At 38.1% G+C, this 19869-nt stretch overlaps 1 protein-coding gene and 1 long non-coding RNA gene across 10 annotated transcripts in view; one reads left to right on the plus strand and one right to left on the minus strand.

Annotated features, from left to right (window-relative positions):
• The window catches only part of PTPRG (protein tyrosine phosphatase receptor type G), a 736039-nt gene that overhangs the window by 685748 nt on the left and 30422 nt on the right, over positions 1-19869 (plus strand). For all 7 annotated transcript variants that reach the window (XM_017006961.2, XM_017006963.2, NM_002841.4 and 4 more), the window contains 2 exons: positions 7806-7897; positions 15480-15576. In XM_017006961.2, the coding sequence (XP_016862450.1) occupies positions 7806-7897; positions 15480-15576 (189 nt within the window). The remainder of the gene's footprint in view (positions 1-7805; positions 7898-15479; positions 15577-19869) is intronic.
• Positions 14501-19869, minus strand: part of PTPRG-AS1 (PTPRG antisense RNA 1) — a 57129-nt gene continuing 51760 nt past the window's right edge. For all 3 annotated transcript variants that reach the window (NR_038281.1, NR_038283.1, NR_038282.1), the window contains one exon: positions 14501-16824. This is a non-coding gene — a long non-coding RNA (PTPRG antisense RNA 1). The remainder of the gene's footprint in view (positions 16825-19869) is intronic.

Raw genomic sequence — 19869 nt, forward strand, 5'->3', positions numbered from 1 at the left:
GACTGTAACAGTTTTCATATCTCAAGACTTCAGACTCCTCATTTGGATATTGATTCATTAAATCAAGGCATTTTCAAATACATGTGAATATTCTCTTTAGTTTTTTCTGAGTTATTGATCATTAACTTCTCTCACTAGCACTGACCATTTGGTTTTTCATTAAATTCTCTTTCATCCTCCTGGAGGGAATTTCATAATTCTTGGGTTGACATTTTCCCCATATTAAAAAAATCTCCCCTCTCATCTCTGTTCTCTACTTATTTTTATTCTTTTCCTTCCTGAGAGAAAGACTCAACTCAGCAAGACATCCATTCCCTGCACAAAAACAGGTCTGTGTGATTTAAATGACTTAGGAAACAAGTCACAGCCACGTTGAATGTTGAACAAATTTAGACACTAACTCAGCAACTTTGGATGATTCTGCTGTGGCTAAAATTCATAAATAAATAGCTTGTATCTTTAAATCCCAAAGCATACGTGGAATCAGTAAGTTATACTGACTTTTGGAAACTATTATAAAATAGGTAAATGATTAAGGAAAGCTTTGCTAACCCTTTGATACTCCTCCCTTTGAGATAGCAGTTTATAGGAGTTTTTGAAGAATTTTGAATGACCAGTTTTACTAATTCTAACAGGAATTTAGGATATTCAGTGTGTTCTTCTGATTTAGTATAGCAAAGACAGTGTTTTAAGAACGAAGACTTTTTTTTTTCCCCTGGTCTCACCTAACACTTATGCAAAATATGGAAATGCTAGACAGAGACTGTGAATATATATGGTGGTTGAGGTTAATTAGCCATGTTAGAAAAAACTCAAAATGCAAGAGTATTTATCCAGCTTGAAAGAAGTGCTTTTGAGGTTGGCTTCCAATCACTATAAAGGTAGTATCAATTATTTTATCAGATAGATTTTGAATGGTTAGTGCCTGTTCCATGCATGACATATGGGAAAAGTAGGAGCAGGAGAGATACGTTAAACTGTGACTTCTGCAGGAGAGTGAAAGGGGTTTTGACTCAATATATTTCACTAAGGGTTTTTCAAAAGAAAATGTTCCCTGGTTACTGGTTTCCCATTGTTTCGGTGTGAGGATAAAGCATAATTGAATGCAGTAACACAGCTGTCAGTCCCCTCATATGCTTTCCATCTTCTAAAATACTGAAGTGGTCACAAAATTCTGTCTTTAAGATCCATAATATTCTTAACACTGACAGGTACTTATAAAAATCTAGTGACTCAGGAATATTCTTTTGAAAAAACAAACTTGAATATTACAATTATTAATGAAGCATTCACTACATTATATTATTCTTTTAGGCTTTCATTATATATAAACTTTTAGAAATCAGAACTTAGCTCATGAAATTAACCTGTTATAGAGCATATTGAAAGAGCTTTCCTAAATATGCATACTGTCAGACACAAATGTCCTAACGAATGCTTTTCTCTGGAAATTAGAAAATCTAACTTTCTAATAAGAGCATTACAAAACAAAATGTTGCTGCTAACCAGTAGCTTAGAAATTCAGAAATGATTCATGCCTTTCCAGCAGTTAAAATACATCTTAATAATTTGAAGGTCACTGGCTTCAGCAGGGTGCCAGAATATAAAGGGGTTTTAAACATGCAGTTTAAAACCCTTGGGATTAAACCAACCTTGTTGGCATATTTTATTTATACAGAGATTATCTCCAAAAGAGATTCATTGGTCTTTTGACTATAATGAAGCCCTTTCTTTATTGACTTCATTGTGTCATAAATGAAAAGAGATTTCTTTTTATGGCAGGAAATAAAATGTTCCAACCTCCACAACACTCCATGCATCCTAAGAGTGGGATTTAGACAAAAATCTATTTGTTGTGTCCTAACTCAGGAAATCTTGATAATGTCCTTTTGTTTCATATTTGCTTTATCTTCCTAAGTTGACACAAAGGTATTACCAAACACCTTGAGAGGCCTGAATTTGGCCTCTGAGAGACTGAGAGGGCAGACAGGAGGGGCAGGGGGCTGAATTCCTGAAAATGAGGTCTATCCACTAGAGGTGTGGTTAACAGTACCTGCTAACAGGCCAGTTGTTGGAGCAGGGTGGAGGGAAGGGGGTGGGTAAGGTCTGAGCTGCACTGATTTGACCCAAGTACTATGCTAGGGCTCTGTTTTTCTCTGCCCATGGAGATTTGGTCGGAATTTGGGATAGGGTTGAGAGATCTGCCAAGGGTTAAATGAACTTTACAGGGATTGCTCATAGAGTGGGTGACTTAAGGACCTCTGGAATCTTAATGGTATTTATATAAATACTCACACACTTCCAGAGTAAGCAAGAAGGGATATTTTATTAAATAGACCTTAAGTCAATCAACTGCAGCAGCTAAGCATCTTGTCAGGAAGGTAAATGCCATTAACAATTTATCTACCTGGCATCATCAAGGTGACCAGTCTACCAGTGTGAATTTTCCAAGTAACTGAAGCCTACCCTCAAAGCCAAAGAATATCATTTCAATCCTTTTTGCTGAAAAGTTTCTTTTAAATGTAAGCTCTAGGGAGGTAATATAATAAGGAAGAACCCAGGCTTTGGAGTCTGCCTGGCCCTATTACTTGATAATGACAGTAGCCTTGGCAAGCTTCTTGGTCCCTGTTAGGCAGTTTCCTCATCTAGAAAATTAGATTAATCACAGCACCTAGAACATAGGGTTGTGCATGTAAAGCAAGTAGCACCTAACAATAAATCATAGATATGAAATGTTTACTAAATGCCAGGCACTCTTATAAGTACTTGTGTTATCTTGTTTACTTTTCATAACACTCTATGAATTATGAAATGTTTACTAAATGCCAGGCACTCTTATAAGTACTTGTGTTATCCTGATTGCTTTTCATAACACTCTATGAATTAAGTACTGTTAGTTATTCCCATTTTACAGATGAGGAAAGGGAATCAGAGAAGTGGAGTCACGCAGTCTGGCTCTGGCTTTTCCACTTATACCGCTGCCTCTGGCTTCCTGATACACAGCAAGCATCTCATCACTGGTGGCTGATAAGAATCACAGATACTCAGTTTTACTGAGTTACATGCTAATGGCCTTACCAGGAGCTGTGTACTAAGGCTGGGCCCTCTGTGCAGCTCCTCCCTGTGGTGTATGTTCAGGGACAGCTTTGGCTGCTTATTTTTCCTTTCTAATATCAAATAAAAAACTATGGGCAAGAAAGCTGTTTCTCTTTTTATTTATCTGTTATTCCTTAAGATTAAGAGAAAGGAAATTTAGCGTGTATGAGTAGGTTAGAGGCATCAAGTGTTGGTGATTTCCCTCTAACAGTTCTGAAGATGCAAGTACGGCCGATACATAACTGTAGATTTTGGAAACAGCTTTATGTTCGAATGCCATTGTTCTTTATTGCCTACAGTGTTGCATTTGAGGTCAGCGTTATCTCAGCTTTGGTGTTTTCTTCTCAGTAGAAGTTGCTGTCATCAGTTCACCCTCTTCTGAGGCTCTGCTTTTGGTACCTACAAACCTAATTTCAAGCTTCATCAAAAGTACATAAGAAGGTTTTGTTGTGGATTGAACAAAATAAAAGGCCCGTTATGTACATAATCTAATTCTAACCACAAAAAGCTAAAATCTGGGAACTTACTTAAGGGTAAATAATAATATTTAATAACAATAAGCCCACCTCTTCAGGTACTGATTCTCTACATTAGTCATTTTATAATCGGGTGATTTAGTGATAATGGTAGTGGTCCCACTTTTGCCTAGTTTAAACCTTTGGTATCTGAAAATTTTGTAAGTACAAATAGTGGCTGAGTAAAGTGGCTCATGCCTATAATAATCTCAGTGCTTTGGGAGGCAGAGGCAGGAGGATCACTCGAGCCCAAGAGTTTGAGACTAGCCTGGACAACATAGTGAGACCCCATCTCTACAAAAAATATAAGCCAGGTGTGGTGACGTGGGCCTGTAGTCCCAGCTACGCAGGAGGCTGAGGTGGAAGGATTGCTTGAGGCTAGGAGTTCAAGACCAGCCTGGGCAACATAGCAAGACTCCATCTCTACAAAAAATGTAAGCCAGGTGTGGTGGCATGGGCCTGTAGTTTCAGCTACTCAGGAGGCTGAGGTGGAAGGATTGCTTGAGGCTAGGAGTTCAAGACCAGCCTGGGCAACATAGCAAGACTCCATCTCTTTAAATTAGCCAGGCATGGTGGCACGGAACTATACCTAGCTACTTAGGAGACTGGGGTGGGAGGATCACTTGAGCTCAGGAGTTTGAGGTGGCAGTGAGATACAATTGAGCAGCTGCACTCCAACCAGCCTGGGTGACACAGTGAGACCATGTCTCAAAAAAAAAAATTAGCACAAAATTATCAAGTGATATTTATCAGATTAACCAGGATATTAAGAATTAAAAAGTTTAATTTGTTATTCCTTGAAATTATAGTACTTTGAGAATGAAGACAAACAGTGTATCCTAGTACACAGGAATACAGTCTTTGGGTTCAATGGACCTGGGTTCAAATCTCAGCTCTGCCACTTAACTGAGTCTTTTTGGACAAGTTGCCTCGGTTTCCTTATGTGCACTTTGAGAATAACCATGTTCCCTTCATCTGGTTCTTACAGAGATAAATGTGTGAAAAACATTTAGCACAGTCCCTGGTAACCAGTAAGGGCTTAATAAATGGTGGTTTTCCTCTCATTCTACCAGCTTTATCATTATCCTGCTTTTGTTATACCATAATAATCTCTCATTTAATCTGTTGTCAGTGAAAACATCTTCACTTTGATTCCAGCCCCTTTTTTCCTTTATGCTTCTCCCACCACCACCACTGCATCAGTGACATTTACTCCCACTGTCATCAAATCCATCCTTTTAATGGCACTTGTAGTCTTTATCACATAATTACACTGTTCTTGCTCTCCCTTGTGTTCATCTCTTCACCAACACAAATGTCCTTGAGCAGAGACCATCTCCCTAATATCTGGCTGAATACTAGGTGCTCAGAAACGGCTTCATCCAGGGGTTTCCCATTCTCTCTGAGTCGGAGCACTTTTTATCTAGGGTCTGCAGCCAACTTCTTCTGCCATTCTAAACTTTTTTCAGCTGCAAGATGCATATGAAAACAGTATGCATTTCTTGGAGTACATGTTAATACATATAAAGTACACAGAAAGTGCCTGGCCTAGTTAATGCTGCTAATATTCCCTTCAATCTTTAATGAAACTCAGACATTTAGGTGGAGATAGCATGTTTTGGATGAATGTCTTCTTAAAACACACAGGGCCTTTCCAGATAAAAATTGAGCTGATTAGGCCTCTGATGCTGTCCTAATTGCTTGGCCTTCTGCTAGTTACATTGATTTTATAATCATCTGGCTCATGTTGAGAGAATGTAATAGAAAAATTATGAGAATGATTAGAATAATTAGTCATAGCCTTATATTCATCTCAGTATAAAGAAAAGAGATTTATGACTCCTCAGCTATTTATCTTGATTGCAGGGCAAATGCTGTATTATCTGGGTAGCTGACAGTGGTCAGTACAGCATGCATCTGTATGTATGTCCGCCTGTCTGGTACTTTTGTGACATTATTGGTGGTGCCTGGAAACCCAGAGGGTGTGGTTAGGCGTCCTTGGATAAAGATGCAAATTGGAGAGACTAGTGAGTCATATATTTCCATGATTATCACACTGAACTCTGCTGGATTTTTGCTGCTTCTAGCCATAGTGGCAGCAGGCATACTGATTTCTGGGCATGTGTGTGTGACATTAGCTTGGATATTACAGTTGAGCACTTTGCAGAAAAAAACAATAAGCAGTTAACCTGAAAGCATTTCTTTTAATGATCTGAGGTGGGCTATGGCCTTTAAAATGCTGTGGTTTTTACCTTACAGAGTAAAACAGTTCTAAAGCTGACATGTTTTTTCTTATTTTGAACTAGAGTCCATGTTCCTAATCACGGCACTGTAAGTTCTCGGGAATCTAAAATTCTAAACTATCATTGTCGTATAAATGTTGCCTTCAACTTATTACTCTGCTAAATATGTCACTCTGCCCTTGAAAATAGTGTTGTATCTGTCATTTCTAAGTATATGAAAGTCCTATAGTCTACATACTAGAGTGATTCTGTGGTTAGGTTGTGTCCCATCTCACCCATTTTGCCTCTTGTTTGAAAATGAGTTTATTCTTGGGCTAATCATTTAGAGACTCTCCAGCTTTGTACATAGTAACCCTTTTCTCAACTTGAGATCATTTTCATTGCCACTGATCATTATTGTAGAATTTGCTTCTAAACATTTTAAGTGAAGTGATCAGATAATTTTGGAAATTTTCTTGAACTGTGCATTCTGCTAAATATTCTGGAGAAACATTTTGGCTCCGCTTACTCTGTTAATGCTGGTTACATCATGAGAGCTATAGATTTCTTGGGCATGCAAAATGATTGCATATTCATGAACATCTTCAATTCTGAAATATTTGTAAATAACTTGGCAATTTTTTTCATAAGGTTGCCTATTAACATGATTAGGACTTTAATTGTTCACACAGGAAGAATTTGTACTTACAGAGCACCACCTATTTGATAAGTAACATTTCTATGCTAAGCAACTTGGATTATGAACACATAAGTCACCTTCCTAAAACAAAGTATAAGAGATGCTATTTTCCACTTAAGCATGATTCAAGTTTGAAAATGTCAATAGATGCAAAAAGCCACCCTAGAGCTTTGCTCTCTCGAAAGAAAGAAGGAATGACATAGTCAATGTTAACTGTCACCAGATGAAGAGAAATCAGATTGTCAGGCCTGGATCTATAAAATTCTTGCCAAAGTAGGACCTCATTTACACATACAGATCTTCATACCCTTTGCTAAGAAAAGCATCTGTGGCAGTTTAGATGTTTGTGCGTTTGCCAAAGATCTTTCACTCTGAATAAAGTAAATGTCATGTCTGTTGTTTATCTCAAATTCAGCAGAGTATTTTTAAAAGGAAATATTTGTGGGGGAGGGTCGAGGGAGAAGGGAAGAAGGAGGTTGGGGAGCTCCAGTTAGTTGGGTGTGGCTATTTTATAGCAGTACTCAAGTATCATGATAAATAAGCTTAAAACATACTTTGGGCTTATGAACTGAAAGTCTCCTTTTGAAGTGACAACACGAAATAAATGGGAATGTGGAGTCTTCCCGAATCTATACCTAGTCTGTCAACACCAAAAAAATCCAGTTAATTCAGTCAAACTGATTATTTGGCATCATGTAGACACAGCTGTCTTGAGCTAAAATTTTGAACACTTAAAGATAGATGGCATTGTACCCAGAGCCAGCTGGTACAATGGCATCTATCTATAATTGTGTATAAAGGATTGCTTAAAACTTATAAGATTGGAAATAGAACTTAATTGCTTAAAGTTCAAGCTGGACTCCATTGAACAGCAATTAAAAAAAAACAACAACAACAACAACAAAGAAAACCCCTGGTGTGATAAAATTTCTTGGCAAATGGGTACCCTTGATAAATTCACACTTTTAGTTAAGAGTATGCTATGGTAATTTAACTATGTAAATTGCGTTGAATATAAAAATAAGGGGAATTCTCTATGTACCTTTTTTTAAAAACCATATTTAACCTGGCTTGTAGGCATTAAAGTCATAATGAGATCCTAATGTAAAATAAATTCTGAGACTTTTCTTCAGGACATCTATTTTGTGTGATACAATTATTTTGCTCTTTGCAAAAATCAAGTATTTGTCTTAAGGATGCTTTGCTTTATCAGTGTAATTTGTTTTATGGAAGTATTCTATGTAACTTTGAATATTATTTTATTCCCCCCAGATGACATGGAAGCCATTCCTGTCAAACAGTTTGTCAAACACATCGGTGAGCTCTATTCTAATAACCAGCATGGGTTCTCTGAGGATTTTGAGGTATGTTTCAAGGCTGGAAGTTAACTTCCAGAAACCTAAGTCTTACTTTATGCAGATTTTTGTAAACTTGAACTGAATTCATTCCAAGCATAACAAAACAGTAACTACGGAAAGTGGAGTTTTTCTTTTCATCTATTATTTTAATAGGCATTCTTTTCCAAATAAAATTTAGGTGAAAGGGGAGTTGATTGTACCTGTCCTGAATATGTATTTCTACAAAAGAACCGACTTAGTGATAGAAAAGAAGCAAACTGGTAGGGATTGCTTTTCAGGTTCTTGCTACATCTAATTCTAACTGGGAACAGCAGTCATAACACAAGGCTCCCTAATTCCATGTCTTTTCTGCAATGCACATGGTATAGTGAAGATAGCAGGTTTGGTGTCTGAGAAACTGGGTGCTGGCTTCATCAGTAGTGAGCTTCATAATCCTCAGACCAATCACCTCATCTCGGATCCCCAGTTTTCCCATTTTTGAAAAATGGCACCAATGTCACCTACATTGTAACGTCGTTGGAAAAATAAATGATTAACATCTTTAAAAGTGCCAAGTTCATTGTTAAGAACCATGCAAAGGTTGACTGTTGTTGTTTTCATGATTATTAATCCTTGGAGAGAAGACTTGGGTTAACACAGCCTTCTGATTTTAAGAACTGGTGTGTAGGAAACAAGGTAGAGAGAGGCATGTACCACCCTGCCAACTCTGGGTTCTGTGCCAGTTCAGCAGTGACAGGGTGTCAATGAGGAGCTATTAAACAGACTGCCCTTTTCTTCACTGAGGCGCTTAACTAAGGCACATCTCTGGCAGCAAGAGTTGTGTCGAGGAGGCCAAGTTTTCATGGCAGCTCAGCTGTCTTCTAGCTCTGTGGGTAAGTTGGTTCCTTTCTCTGTCTCATTTCTACTTTAAAATGGAAATGATGATGATGATGATGCTAACCTACCCATCTCTTTCAACAAAATTGGTTACAGGGCAAAATGAAGTAATGGAAGGTAAGCACTTTAAGATCATCTAGGAGTCATACAGCTGGAAGGTGCAGTTACCTTGAATGAACAATGAGAAATAAAAACAGGATGAAAAGCCCCTGTCTATGCAAATTTAGAATCCCAAAAGGCTATCATAAAGGCAGTTATATTGCTGACTTGTTTTAAATTAAGTCTTTCTCTTAGTTTTTTTGTTAGTTTTTGTTGTTTTGAGCAGAATGAAAACAAAGGTGGTAGAAAGAACCTCTGATTTATTCTACGAAGTCATATGTTTTATGGAACCAACAAAAGCATGTCAAGTATTTAATGCTATTAGATGCTTACTAAAAAAGGTGCCTATTCAACTACAAAGAACATGGTTTAAGTCAAACATTTTGTATTCATGAGGACAGCAAATGTGTGTGGTGTTAAAGTGATTTAGTTCAATTGACTGTTGGCTGGATGACTGAGCAAGAATATTGAGGCATTTAACAACGTTGATGGTATTCAGGACAAACATTTATCCTCTAGAGAGCCGAATTTGATCAGGATGATCAAATGCAACTCCAGTTTCTCAATTATTTATGATTTGAGACCCCAGTGCTATTCATCACAGCTGGTTTTGACACCATTTAATTATTCAAAATAATCAGCTACACCTCTGTAAACTTGATCTGACTTAAAATGGGCTTTGCTGCATCAAAATCATGCTTCTTAACAAATCCTGGGCATCTGTACCCTATTTCTGTCCTAAAAAAATATACTGCAGCTAAAAGCTTTAATCGCCTACATTGAACTTTAGAGCTTAAATAGTATTAGCTGATACTTATGGGAGTGGAATGGGGAGGGCAGGCAGGAAGGTGAAAGGGCTGTTGTGATTTCACTGTCTTTTCAGGTTTGAAAGGTTTAAAATCAGAGCTGTTCACAATAGGAAGAATATGCTTTCTTCTAAAAAGAACAGCAAAGCAGCAACGTAAAGGGGAGAATAAGAAAATAGAAAAGCTCACCAATACTACTGTCACCTTATAATTAGGTGAAAATTTGAAGTACTTTTAAAAGAGTAGTATTCCTTTTGGGTAACTGCTAAAAGGGAAAACTGGTAATAGGCTACATAAGAAGCTATTACGGCTATTTTATAAACAGAGATAGTAACAGGCTTTATAAGAAAGGACAGAAAAAGATTTTGTGTAATTAAAAACAAAATTGTATTATGGTAAGAGAGTTAAGGTAATCTTAGTCTCAGATTTCCAGACCCATTTACCTGGAATAATGATGGCCAGCATTTACTAGTTAGCACTGTGCATGGATCATTCTATTTCCTGAGGTAGGTGTATCTTATTGTCCCCATTTTACTGATGACGAAACTACCCATGAGAAAACTGAGGCTGTGGGTGGCTACATTTTGAAATGGCAGGAGTAGGGTTTAAGACCAGGGTATCTGACTTGAACCCACATGGTTCACCTTGACACCATCCAGACTCTCATTAAAGTAGTGTCCTGGGCCAGGCACAGTGGCTCACACCTGTAATCCCAACACTTTGGGAGAACAAGGTGGGAGGATCGCTTGAGATCAGGAGTTCCCAACCAGCCTGGACAACACAGCAAGACTCTGTCTCTACAAAAAAAATTTTTTTTAATTAGCCAGGTGTGGTGACGCACAACTGTGGTCCTAGCTATTCAGAGGCTGAGGCTGAGGCAGGAGGATCACTTGAGCCCAGGATATTGAGGCTGCAGTGACCTATGACCGTACCACTGCACTCCAGCCTGAGCGACAGAGCAAGACCCTGTCTCAGGAAAAAACACCAAAAAGCCAGAGTAATGTCCTGTAATGAGCCAAGGTCAGAAGGAGAAATAAGGAAGCTTGCAAGTGACTAGAAATGATCATGCCTCGGTGCCTTAACAATACAAAAGTGGGGAGAGCAGCCAAATTAGGAACCCCCCCCACTAGGAGTATTAGCTGCCCATTACATGATCTTTATGGTCTCGAGCCTTCTAAGATAGCTGAGAATACGACTTATAAAAATCTTATCCAACATGTAGGCCTAAAATTAGTCTTAAAATTATGAGAAATACAACTGAAAAGTTAACAACTGGACATTAAGAGGAGCTAAAACAACCCATCTAACAGTTACTGATGATCTACCATTCTCTGGACATAATATAAGATACAAATATGAATTAGAGTCCTTGCCCTCAAAGAGTTCAATCTGGTACTGGGGGAGGCCAGAGTGTACACAACCAAAACAGAAACAGGACAAAGCAAAATAAGTGCTATTGTACAGGCATAAAGTTCTGAAGAAGTGCAAAGGAGAAAGGCATCTATGTATTTTCATTGGAGATTTCAGCAAAAATTCTCATCCATCATGTTTAAACATCTCGGAAGTAAAAAAATGTTGGTGAATAACTATCGTAGTTTCAGAACTTTACTGCTTGGAGAATGAGAAAAACAATTCACTGGTACCTTTGACTCTTTGTCTAGAAGTGTTGCTGTAAGCCAGCTTTTTGTTCTTGTCAAATAAATTCTAGAGACCGTGAAAAGCAACATCATACAGTATTTGCAGTCACTAGAAATAACATCAGTCCTTTTCTTGTGATAGCGTTGGATGACACCATTACCTTGGCTACCTGAGCTAACTTCAACCTCATTGTCCTTCCCAGGGAGTAGTTTCCCAGAGTAGTATTAAAAGATTGACAGCCTCTTCCTTGGCCCCCACAAACATAATGCAGAAGGCTTCCAAAAGACCAGTGCTAGCATACTCTTTCAAAAGGAAGGCACTCCAAAGCTCCATGAGTCAGAAGAATTAACAGGCAGGGACTGGTAGAATCAGAAGTCTAAAAGAGTGCAGGATGAGGCCAGAAGTCCACAGCCCCTGGACAAGATCCTTTGGGGGACTGCCTCTATTACAGTTAACCAGCTGTGCTAAATTTGGGCTGGTTGTTCATCTTAAATCAAAAGAACAAAGCTTAGTCCACCTGAGCCCATGCTCTGAGGGACCAGTGGCCACAATCACTTTAGGAAATGAAGGGAGATGTCCAGGGCTGCTGATGATGTATAATAGGGAAGTCTCTGGTCAGAGGTGTAATGCTGCACCGACTGCTGCCTGCAAGAGGGCAGAAAATGAGCCTGTAGGCAGGGCTGTCCAATCTTTTGGCTTCCCTAGGCCACATTGGAAGAAGAAATGTCTTGGGCCACACATAAAATACACTAATGAGAGCTGATGAGCTAAAAAATTGCAGGGAAAAAAAAAACCCTCAATGTTTTAAGAAAGTTTACGAATTTGTGTTGGGCTGCTTTCAAAGCCATCCTGGGCCGCCTGTGGCCTGTGGGCCATGGATTGGATAAGCTTGCTGTAGAGTTAGTTTCCTCAGCGTTTTTGACAAAAATGCCAGTTTGGGTCTTAAATATCTTAAGAAAAACGTTTTTAAACGGTTATGAGGTAAATCACAGTTTTTTGAGATTTTGGTGAAGAGGGAGATAAAAGGGAGATAGCCAGATTTCATGAAAAATAATTCTTATGCTAGAGACCAGCTGCAGGATAATAATGCTGTGTTATACTCTCCAAAGATAGGTTAGTTTTCTAGGGGGCAAATGCAGTCATTTTGATAAAGATACATGGATTTGGATACAGGAAGAGAACAGGCATTCTTACCAAGGTAAATGGCAATAAAGCAATAAGCAGGAAATCAAATGGTCTTTTCAAAGGGTATGGAGTTAATATTGTCTGGGATTGGGAAGGGTGGGGAAGATAAGATGGGACCTTGAAAGCCTGGCTAAGGGAATGTGGAATCTCTCCACACGTTTCTGAGGAAGGGAATAACAAAGTCAGCACAACGTTTGAGGAAAATCAGTCTGGCAGCAATTTATACCCTGAGCAGGAGAGAGTAGGGGCTGGAAGATGCAGTGTAACCAGCACCTGTCAAAGGCCAGTTCTGTGTCCGACACTGTACATGCACTGGGTCACTACCATGACCTAAACCCATCAGTCATCTGTAGAACAGTCTCTTTACCACAATTGTAGGCTGCCTGAACTCAGGCACTAAGAATGTTACCCCTACTTGGTGTAATACTTGGTAACCAGATCCAAATAATTTATTCTCAGCTACCTTTTTGGAACTGAGCAATCTGAAAGATTTCTAGAAGTTTTGTTGCATTATTTTTTTGAATTGAGCCACAGTATAGTAGGACAGTAGGTCTTTAAGTGCTCTTTAAATAGCCTCTTGCATCAATGACTGTAGGTAGGAAGTGATTTAGCCTACATCACCTCCCTAAAATTCTCGTTACATCAATTTTTAGGGTTTGTTCAGTCTTCGATTTTTTGCTTTATTTTACACCTGTTTTATGTTGGCCTTCTCCTATGCTTATGTGCCTGTTAAGATTCAAACTGTTCTTTTTGAGAATTCTAGCTTTGTTACATAGGGAGTAAAATATAAACAAGCTTAAACTATTTATCAAGTTCTGAATAGGTAAATTTACAATGCATACTCCATTGGCCAGTGTCTCTTTAAAGGGTTTTTAACACACTAAAATCCTGTTAACTTTGAAATGGCAGTTCTGATAGAGAAAAGCCACTCCCAGATCAGATGATATTATCAGCATCTAAATGAGCCAGGCAGTACTGCAAGGAATTACAGATGACATTATTATCTACATGACAAAATCAGAAGGCCTCAGGCAAACCCCATGGGTTCTAATAAAATCAGATTTGACAATATTTATTACGATTTTTTGTTTCTGTCATTCATCTAATTGGAAAAGTGAAACAGAGGCAACAGATCAGACAAGGGGTTTTAGATAACAAAGAGTTTGGCCATATTGAATGACAGCTTTAAACAATACTGACAGCTGCTCCCAAGCAGTCTTGGTCAATTGCATTATATTAGAAAAGAGGCTCCAACTTCAGTCCATAGCTAGGGTGGTCAGATCTATACAACAGGAAAAAAAAATCAATAAACAAAGTAAATCTCAGACTAAGGTACTAAAAGCCAAAATCTCTCAGCATAAGATACCTGAACAACTCAACCCTAAAGAAGTACATGCCAAAGGTGTGACCTTCAAAACCCGAAAACAAAAGACTAACTTGTTTCAAATCCATTTTCAAAAGTTGTCTGCCCTTGAAACTCTTCAAAAGAGCATGGCTCAGAGCTTATAAGGCAGTTTCAAAAGGCAGGTCCCAACGTGCTAAGTTTGGCTAGCATTGCTCATGTTCTTACGTAGACTGATTTGTGATCACACTTTATTATCTCATTTTAGAGAAGAGCCAAAGGGCAGCCTTAAAGCTCCTTAAACCAGTGTTTTCCAAACCATAGGTTATAAACTATGTTAGAACAGAATATATTGGAGTTTAGTAAGAGTAAGGAAAGGGTAAGAACTGTCATTAAACACACTTTCCCAGAAAGGTGGATTGAATTAATGCCTGTGGGGCTTTTTTTTTTTTTTTTAAATGGACAGCTGGGAAGGACTATAATTATGGAAACTTCAATTTACAGTGTCCAACAATTGGAGAGTCATTGAATACTGTTTCTTTGAACACACAGAAATTCTTTGCTTTTATACCTTAAATTCTTTGAGTACAGTAACTTCCTCCTTCTAGAGAAGAAGTGTACTTCTCCCTGGGGAAGTACTTTGTGAATATAAAAGACAACCAGTTCATTGTTTTCATTATGTTTAATGTAAATACTATGGAAAACATGCATAATTACTAGGCAACTCCTTTGTGGAAAAAAAAAGTCTGCATGCTTCTAAACTCTGCTACATCTGTTCTGTGTAAAACATTTCTCCTGATAATTTTGTGTTACTTTGTTCAGGCTCTTTGTAGCAGCTGTGTACTGCTAATGACTTCCCTTATTAGTCAGCTCCAGTACTTTCTTGGGTTTGAAGCATATAGTGTAGAAAAATTTGGCTTTTCAGCAACGTTGTATTAGGCTAATGGATGACGTTTAAATCCACGGCCAAGGTAGGATAAGAGTGTTATTTCTGCTACTGCTATTTTTCCAAAGAAGGATAACTTTTAAAATACTAGAGTTCACAAATAATTTGTCAAGACTGTATATATGAGATATGACCATTAGTTGGGCTGTTATTAGGGTTATTTCAGCACTGAGTCTTTAGAGTCAATGCACCCTCACAATTATAAAATGAGGCTATAAGGCCTGTAAGCATATTGCAAATCATGGTAGAGATTATACTTCTTAGAAATTCCCTTTCTTCCTTTAAGACTTAGGTAAATTTTTTCACCTGTCTAAAGCCTTCCTCTGTTCTGTGCTCCCATCAGAGCTTTCTCAGGCCTCTTTTGTATTCATCATGTTTGACTATCTTTTTGAATATTTTTCTCACCCATAGACTATGATGTATTCAAAAAGAGATATTGTTTTACATCTCAGGGACTAGGTCAAAAACTAGAAAAAAGTAGATGATTGATGAAATAGTAAATAATGAAATCTTTATACCTTTTTCACATTCTTCATAAACTCGTTATAAATATATCAATAATTATATCCGAAGTTGGGATTGAGAAGGTAACGGTGGCTGTGGCCAGGGAGTGAGTAAATACTTTATGCCTTTAAATGTATATGGTGTTCCTTTGTTTCTAAACTGTGTCTATAATCTTGCTGTTTTCTTCACTAGGAAGTCCAGCGCTGTACTGCTGATATGAACATCACTGCAGAGCATTCCAATCATCCAGAAAACAAGCACAAAAACAGATACATCAACATTTTAGCATGTGAGTAATAAGCTTTAAACTACCTTCAACTGCGAGGAAATTAAATTTTCATGCTGGGTATAAGCTGAAAGCCAAGCAGTCAGAAGCAGGATGCCAAGAAAGAATGATTCTTGCAAGCTAACCTCTCATTAGCCCATCTTCAACAGTGTAGAAGTTGGGACATTTTCTTCCCCCTTAGCCTTTCATTAGGCTGTCAGGGCTCAGCGAGCTTAATAAGGTGACTGAAAGAAAATGTTTGGAGCTTCGCTATTTTCACATGAAGTGATGTCATATCACATGTTGGGAGCCAAAATTTGAATGTCACTTGGTTACACTGACATTGTTTTTAACCTGTAAGGGCCAAATCTTTTAATACAAATGAAAATATTGGGAATTGAATCAAGCAAGCTGAATTTCAAAGCATTCTTTCAAAGACTACATAATTGGCTTGTACCTTAAATGATGAGCCTCCAGGCCTTTTGGTCCATGTGCTTACTCCTATCTATCACATTTCCATGGTCAGGAATATTCTGTAGGTTAGGGACTCAAACAAATGGACATTCTTCATACAGAGCCTCAAGGAATACCCTAGGAGCACAAGCTACTTCTATGGCTAGAAGACCACATTTCACAGACATGTGGGGCTTGGCTCACTGGCATATAATATATGCTTTGATACTAAGGGTAGGGGCATAGATATTTATAGTTAACATATACCATGGTAAGGACATTACATAGAATTGTATACAATAGTGCATTTAAATTGGACCACTTAAAATTTGAACAGTACTGTATAATGTTTTCTTAAAGTTTTAGTGAAATATAATTCATATACCATATGAAATTTACCCATTTAAGGCCAGGCACAGTGGCTTACGCCTGTAATCCCAGCACTTTCGGAGGCCGAGGCAGGTGGATCACTTGAGGCCATGAGTGCAAGACCAGCCTGGCCAACATGGTGAAACTCTGTCTCTACAAAAAATACTAAACTTGGCTGGGCACAGTGACTCACGCCTGTAATCCCAGCACTTTGGGAGGCTGAGGCGGGCGGATCACGAGGTCAGGAGATCGAGACCATCCTGGCTAATGCGGTGAAACCCTGTCTCTACTAAAAATACAAAAATTAGCCGGGCGTGGTGGCAGGCGCCTGTAGTCCCAGCTACTCGGGAGGCTAAGGCAGGAGAATGGCATGAACCCAGGAGGCGGAGCTTGCAGTGAGCCGAGATCACGCCACTGTACTCCATCCTGGGTGACAGAGTGAGACTCCATCTGAAAAAAAAAAAAAAAATTCTGAAGTTAATGGGATGTGGTGGCATGCGCCTGTAGTCCCAGCTAATGGAGAGGCACACGAATCACTTGAACCCAGGAGGGGGAGGTTGTTGTGAACCAAGATTGTGCCACTGCACTCAAGCCTGGGGAACAGAGCAAGACCTTGTCTCCAAAAAAAAAAAAATTTCCTAGGGTATACAACTCTGGGGTTTTAGTATATTCACGGAGTTGTACGATCATCACCACAATCTAATTTTAGAACAGTTTTTGCACCTCAGCAAGAAACCTGTTAGCAGGCACTCCCAATTCCTCCTTCTCTCCAGCACTTAGAAACCCTGTATCTACCTTCTGTCTCTGTGGTTTTGCATATTCTGGACATTTCATATAAACAGATTCATACTATATGTGACCTTTTGTGTCTGGCTTCTTTAATTTAGCGCAATGATTTCAACACTCATCCATGTTGTACCATATATCAATACTTCATTCCTTTTTATGGCTGAATAATACTCTAATGTGTGGATATACAGCATTTTGTCTATTCATTCATCATTTGATGGACATTGTTTCTTTTCCGCTTCTCAGCTAGTATGAATACCGCTATGAGCATTCATGTACAAGTCTTTATGTAGACAGATATTTTCACTTCTCTTTGGTGTATACGTAGGAGTAGAATTTGCTAGATTATATGGTAATTCTATGTTTAAAATTTTGAGGAACTATCAAACTCTTTTCCAAAGTGGCTATTCATTTTACGTTCCCACCAACAATATATAAAGGGTCCAGTGTTTCCACATCCTCACCAACTCTTACTATTTAAAAAAAAAAAAAAAACAGCCTTCCTAACCGGTATGAAGTGGTATCCTATTGTAGTTTCGATTTGCATGTCCCCAATTATTAGTGATGTTGAGCATCTTTTCGTGCTTATTGGCCATTTGTATAACTTGTTTGGAGAAATGTCTAATCAGATCCTTTACCATTTTTTAACTGGCTTACTTTTGTCTTTTGTTGAGTTGTAAGAGTTCTTTATATATTCTGGATACAGATCATTTATTGAATATACAGTTTGCAAATATTTTCTCATTCTGTGCATTGTCTTTTCACTTTCTTAATGTGAGTTCTCTAAATTTGTTCCTTTTTCAAGATTGTTTTGGCTATTCTTTCAACAATTGTTTCTGAATTGTACTACTGTACTGCTTTTGTTAAATTTATTCCTAAGTATTTTATTCCATTTGATCCTAATGTAAATGAAATTGTTTACTTAGTTTTATTTTTGGATTGCTCATTGCTAGTTTATATAAATACATTTGTAGGTTGTATCCTACAACCTTGCTGAATCCGTCTTTTCTAGTAGTTTTTTCTTGATTCCTTGAATTTCTGTATACATGATGTCCTCTATAAACAAAGGTAGTTTTATTTCTAAATAAAATGTTACAAAAACTCCAAGTTACTTTTGAATAGGATTGTTTGTTCTACTTTTCTGAGAAAATGAACTGGTTAAAAAAGCCAGGGGGAGAACAAGGAAGAAAGTCAAACCTCTCCCTAGTCTTTGGATTGACTTTGGCAGTATTTGTTGGCCAGCTCAATCAAGGCTCACCACTGCTGTGACTATGAGGATTTCTCTATCCAGATACACCTCCTTTCTAACCAGAGAAATCAGGCAAGGATATGTATACATCTGTGCCTTATATATACATACATACATACACACACACACACACACACACACACACGTATACATCTGTGCCTTATATACACACACACACACACACACACACACACACCATTCTCTCCACCAGAGCATCCTTTACTTCTCTAATGTCAAACATCACTTACTGCCTTGCTAAAAGTATTGTGGCAAAAAAAGGAGGAGAAAATCAAAGCAACTAATGTGTGATGTGCCCAAAGGTCATGGTGTTTTGCTAGAAAACCATCATCTCTGGTTAAATGTGAATTGCACTTTCACAACTTCATTTGTGATTTTACTTTCACAATTTCAAATTAGATGTAATTTTATTTTTAAACATTCAGGGAGTTAGGTTTTGGTGTTCTCTTGGCCACTCAGATTCTGGGCACATTGCCTGCCTTCATCTACCCTCTATATTAATGCCTTTTCATAGCAAAGAATAGCATAGAAACAAGTAAAATCAGACCGTGAATGAGCCAGAAACATGATGTATGAAAAACCTTCTCTCAGATTCATCACAACTTTCAAGGTATATGTGGATGTTACCAAATCACCTCCCAAATTGATCTATTAATGTCTTATTTGTCAGTCTAAGAAATAACAATATGCAATTAATGACTACTAAGGCATAACGGTTTGGATCCAGATGCCTTAGGAGAAATTTTTCCTTTGGGGCCTATTTATATCAAGCAACACCTGTTTCATGTCAACTGTAAACTGAAAGTTTGTCAGAACAACAAAAACAGTTCACAGTTCCAAAAACATAGAGGGCTCTCAAAAATTGCTTGGTATATTCTGAGGTCAGTAATGCCTATGCTGATCCACTCATTGGACTTCTTTTTCAACTAGCCTTTTATGATAATGACTATAAACAGAAACATAAATTGGGTTTTGCCCATTCTGTTTCTACCTAGGGAAAATAAAATTATAACCTCAGCTTCCTTTTACTTATTTTGCTATCCTAAAAAAAACAGGCACAATCTGCTGGGCAACTAGATACACATGTCATGCATCACCTACCCCCAACTTTTGTTCATTAACTGAGGTTAAGTGGATCCTAAAATCTGAACATTAACTTCAGATTCCTGTAATGAGATTACTCTTAACAAAAGCTCTGGTTTCCTCAATTCCTTAGGTTCTGTTAGGGTAGCAGGGAATCCAAGTGAATTAGCAATGGAATTGCCTGAAAATATTAATAGATGTTTTGGACTTGACAGATCAGTCACCCTTTTATATTTGTATTAATGGGGAGGGAACAGGGGCATAGGGCATAATCAAAGCCCTTTGAACTTGGCTTTAAAATACAGAACAAGCAAATACCTTTGAACTTGGCTTTAAAATACAGAGGACTACAATTT

Source organism: Homo sapiens, chromosome 3 (assembly GCF_000001405.40).
Source record: "Homo sapiens chromosome 3, GRCh38.p14 Primary Assembly".
Taxonomy (NCBI): Eukaryota; Metazoa; Chordata; class Mammalia; order Primates; family Hominidae; genus Homo; species Homo sapiens.